Here is a 4,339-nt window from a genome sequence, read left to right as displayed (position 1 = left end):
GAGTAGCTGGGACTACAGACGGTGCCATCACGCCCAACTCATTGTTGATTCCCGCCCCCCCGCCCCCCCCCCCTTGGTAGAGACGGGATTCCGCTATATTGCCTGGGCTGGTGTCGAACTCATAGAACAAAGGATCCTCCCTCCTGGGCCTGGGCGTGGGCTCGCAAAACGCTGGGATTCCCGGATTACAGGCGGGCGCACCACACCAGGAGCAAACACTTCCGGTTTTAAAAATTCAGTTTGTGATTGGCTGTCATTCAGTATTATGCTAATTAAGCATGCCCGGTTTTAAACCTCTTAAAACAATTTTTAAAATTACCTTTCCACCTAAAACGTTAAAATTTGTCAAGTGATAATATTCGACAAGCTGTTATTGCCAAACTATTTTCCTATTTGTTTCCTAATGGCATCGGAACTAGCGAAAGTTTCTCGCCATCAGTTAAAAGTTTGCGGCAGATGTAGACCTAGCAGAGGTGTGCGAGGAGGCCATTAAGACTATACTTTCAGGGATCATTTCTATAGTGTGTTACTAGAGAAGTTTCTCTGAACGTGTAGAGCACCGAAAACCCCGAGGAAGAGAGGTAGCGTTTTCTCCTGAGCGTGAAGCCGGCTTTCTGGCGTTGCTTGGCTGCAACTGCCGTCAGCCATTGATGATCGTTCTTCTCTCCGTATTGGGGAGTGAGAGGGAGAGAACGCGGTCTGAGTGGTTTTTCCTTCTTGATGGCTCAATGACAGAGACTAGCTCGTAAACTCCGGGGCGTTTCTGGGCTGTTCGCTCCTGCTTGGCAGTGTAGCGAGAAAGGTTTTCGCCTCCTGTTTCAGCGGTGACGGCTCTTGGGTTTTCTCGGGGTGGCTTTTTAATTTTAGTCTTGGCGCGAGGCGGGGGATGCTGTGTGGCACCTCCTATTGTCTCTTTTTGCGTTTTCTCCCATTCTCGCTCCCTCTTTTGTCGCCGTTTCCCGCCCGCCACTCCCACCCCCAGACGGGGTCTCCGGGTCTCTTGTTCTGTCTGCCGCCCCGGCTGGAGTGCAGTGGCGCGATCTCGGCTCCTAGCAACATCTGCCTCCCGGGCTCAAGCGAGTCTCCCGCCTAAGCCCTCCCGAGTAGCCGGGGCTTAAAGGCGCACACGCCACTCCAGGCTTTTTTTTTTTTTTTTTTTGGCAGAAACGGGGTGTCAGCATGTTAGCCAGGCTGGTCTCCAACGCGTGATCTCAGGTGATCCGCCGGCCTCGGCCTCCCGAAGTTCTGGGATTACAGGCGTGAGCCACTGCACCCGGCCCTTCTATTTTTTTAAATAGCGACGGGGTTTCACCATGTTGGCCAGGCTGCTCCTGAACACCTGAGTTCAGGTGATCCGCCCGCCTCGGCCTCCCGAAGTTCTGCGATTACAGGCGTGCCACCCGCACCCGGCCCTAAAAGTACTTTTTATAGAGATGGGGTCTCACTCTGTTGCCCAGACTGGTCTCAAACTGCTTATCTCAAGTGACTGACTGTCTGCCTCAGCTGCCCAAGTAGCAGGGATTACAGACACAAGCCACAGCCGCTGGCTCTATTCAGGAACATCTTAGTTCCAAGTTTTGGCAATTATGGATAAAGCTGCTATAAACAGGTGTGCAGGTTTTTGTGTGGACATTTTCAACTCATTTGGGTAGACACCAAGAGGCACGAGTTCTGATCATACCGAAAGTGTTTAGTTTCAGAAGAAGCTGCTTTTCTTGGGCTCCATAACAAAATACACAGACTTTGTGGCTTAAATAACACAAATTTATTTCTTACAGTTCTCAGTCGGGCGCGGTGGCTCACTCCTGTAATCCCAGAACTTCGGGAGGCCGAGGCGGGCGGATCACCTGAACTCAGGTGTTCAGGAGCAGCCTGGCCAACATGGTGAAACCCCGTCGCTATTTAAAAAAATAGAAGGGCCGGGTGCAGTGGCTCACGCCTGTAATCCCAGAACTTCGGGAGGCCGAGGCGGGCGGATCACCTGAGATCACGCGTTGGAGACCAGCCTGGCTAACATGCTGACACCCCGTTTCTGCCAAAAAAAAAAAAAAAAAAAAAAAAAAAAGCCTGGAGTGGCGTGTGCGCCTTTAAGCCCCGGCTACTCGGGAGGGCTTAGGCGGGAGACTCGCTTGAGCCCGGGAGGCAGATGTTGCTAGGAGCCGAGATCGCGCCACTGCACTCCAGCCGGGGCCGGCAGACAGAACAAGAGACCCGGAGACCCCGTCTGGGGGTGGGAGTGGCGGGCGGGAAACGGCGACAAAAGAGGGAGCGAGAATGGGAGAAAACGCAAAAAGAGACAATAGGAGGTGCCACACAGCATCCCCCGCCTCGCGCCAAGACTAAAATTAAAAAGCCACCCCGAGGAAAACCCAAAAGCCGTCACCGCTGAAACAGGAGGCGAAAACCTTTCTCGCGACATTGCCAAGCAGGAGCGAACAGCCCGGAAACGGCCCGGAGTTTACGAGCTAGTCTCTGTCATTGAGCCATCAAGAAGGAAAAACCACTCAGACCGCGTTCTCTCCCTCTCACTCCCCAATACGGAGAGAAGAACGATCATCAATGGCTGACGGCAGTTGCAGCCAAGCAACGCCAGAAAGCCGGCTTCACGCTCAGGAGAAAACGCTACCTCTCTTCCTCGGGGTTTTCGGTGCTCTACACGTTCAGAGAAACTTCTCTAGTAACACACTATAGAAATGATCCCTGAAAGTATAGTCTTAATGGCCTCCTCGCACACCTCTGCTAGGTCTACATCTGCCGCAAACTTTTAACTGATGGCGAGAAACTTTCGCTAGTTCCGATGCCATTAGGAAACAAATAGGAAAATAGTTTGGCAATAACAGCTTGTCGAATATTATCACTTGACAAATTTTAACGTTTTAGGTGGAAAGGTAATTTTAAAAATTGTTTTAAGAGGTTTAAAACCGGGCATGCTTAATTAGCATAATACTGAATGACAGCCAATCACAAACTGAATTTTTAAAACCGGAAGTGTTTGCTCCTGGTGTGGTGCGCCCGCCTGTAATCCGGGAATCCCAGCGTTTTGCGAGCCCACGCCCAGGCCCAGGAGGGAGGATCCTTTGTTCTATGAGTTCGACACCAGCCCAGGCAATATAGCGGAATCCCGTCTCTACCAAGGGGGCGGGAATCAACAATGAGCTGGGCGTGATGGCACCGTCTGTAGTCCCAGCTACTCGGGAGGCTGAAGCGGGATGATCGTTTGAGTCAGGGAAGCTGGCTGAGTTCAAAGCTGCAGTGAGCTCTGATCAGTTACCCCACTGCACCCCAGCCTGGGAGACAGAGTGAGATCTTGACTCTTAAAAACAATTTTTTTTTTAGGGGGGATGGTATTAAATAGATACAAAATTTACCATTTTAACCATTTTTCACATATACAATTCAGTGGCATTAAGTACATTCGTGTAGCCATTGGCATGTAACCATCACCATTATTTATCTCCAGAACTTTTTCGACATCCCAAACTGAAACTCTACCCGTAAAACAAACTTCCCTTTCCTCCCTCCGCCCAGACCCCTTTAACCACTATTCTACTTTCCGTCTCTATGAATTTGATTCTTGTAGGTATCTCTATAAGTGGAAACATGCAATATTGTCCTTTTGTATCTGGCTTATTTCACTTAGAATGACGTTTTCAAGGTTCATTCACGTTGTAACATGTTGCAGAATTTCACTCCTTTTTCAGGCTGGAGTGCAATGATGCATGATGTGACAGCTCACTGCAGCCTTGACCCCCAGGGCTCGGGTGATCCTCCCACGTCAGCCTCCTGAGTAGCTGGGATCGTAGGCACATGCCATCACGCTCCGCTAATTTTTTGTATTTTTTGTAGGGAGGGGGTTTCACCACATTGCCCAGGATGGTCTTGAACTCCTGGGATCAAGGGATCCACCCGCCTCGGCCGCTCAAAGTGCTGGGACTACAGGCGTGAGCCACCATGCCCAGCGGTTTTCTTAATTACATTTTTGAATTGTTCCTTGCCAGTGCATAAAAACACAACTGGACCGGGCACGGTGGCTCACGCCTGTCATCCTAGCACTTTGGGAGGCCGAGGCGGGTGGATCACCAGGTCAGGAGATCAAGACCATCCTGGCCAACGTGGTGAAACCTCGTCTCTACTAAAAATACAAAAACTGGCCGGGCGTGGTGGCCTGCGCCTGTAATCCCAGCTACTGGGGAGGCTGAGGCAGGAGAATTGCTTGAACCCGGGAGGCAGAGGCTGCAGTGAGCCAAGATCACGCCATTGCACTCCGGCCTGGGCGATAAGAGCATAACTCCTCAAAAAAACAAACAGGAAACCACACAACTGGTTTTTGTGAGTTGAT

The 4,339-nt window shown here is 50.9% G+C and overlaps 2 non-coding genes across 2 annotated transcripts, besides 1 other annotated feature; one reads left to right on the top strand and one right to left on the bottom strand.

Annotated features, from left to right (window-relative positions):
- The first annotated feature begins 491 nt into the window (after window positions 1-491).
- On the top strand, window positions 492-708 carry SNORD3B-2 (small nucleolar RNA, C/D box 3B-2). The gene has a single exon (NR_003924.1). It is a non-coding gene; the product is annotated as a small nucleolar RNA, C/D box 3B-2 (small nucleolar RNA).
- Window positions 698-1,292: a silencer, noted in NCBI's record as "fragment chr17:18966649-18967243 (GRCh37/hg19 assembly coordinates)". NCBI's record gives its function as "represses an EF-1alpha promoter that drives an FKBP-Casp9 reporter gene in an ReSE screen in K562 erythroleukemia cells {active_cell/tissue: K562}" and the evidence as "EXISTENCE:reporter gene assay evidence [ECO:0000049][PMID:32094911]".
- On the bottom strand, window positions 2,500-2,716 carry SNORD3B-1 (small nucleolar RNA, C/D box 3B-1). The gene has a single exon (NR_003271.1). It is a non-coding gene; the product is annotated as a small nucleolar RNA, C/D box 3B-1 (small nucleolar RNA).
- Between the last annotated feature and the right edge of the window lie 1,623 nt (window positions 2,717-4,339).

This window comes from Homo sapiens, chromosome 17 (genome assembly GCF_000001405.40).
Source record: "Homo sapiens chromosome 17, GRCh38.p14 Primary Assembly".
Taxonomy (NCBI): Eukaryota; Metazoa; Chordata; class Mammalia; order Primates; family Hominidae; genus Homo; species Homo sapiens.
Note: the sequence above shows the minus strand (reverse complement) of the source record. Positions and strands in the feature narration are given on the sequence as shown.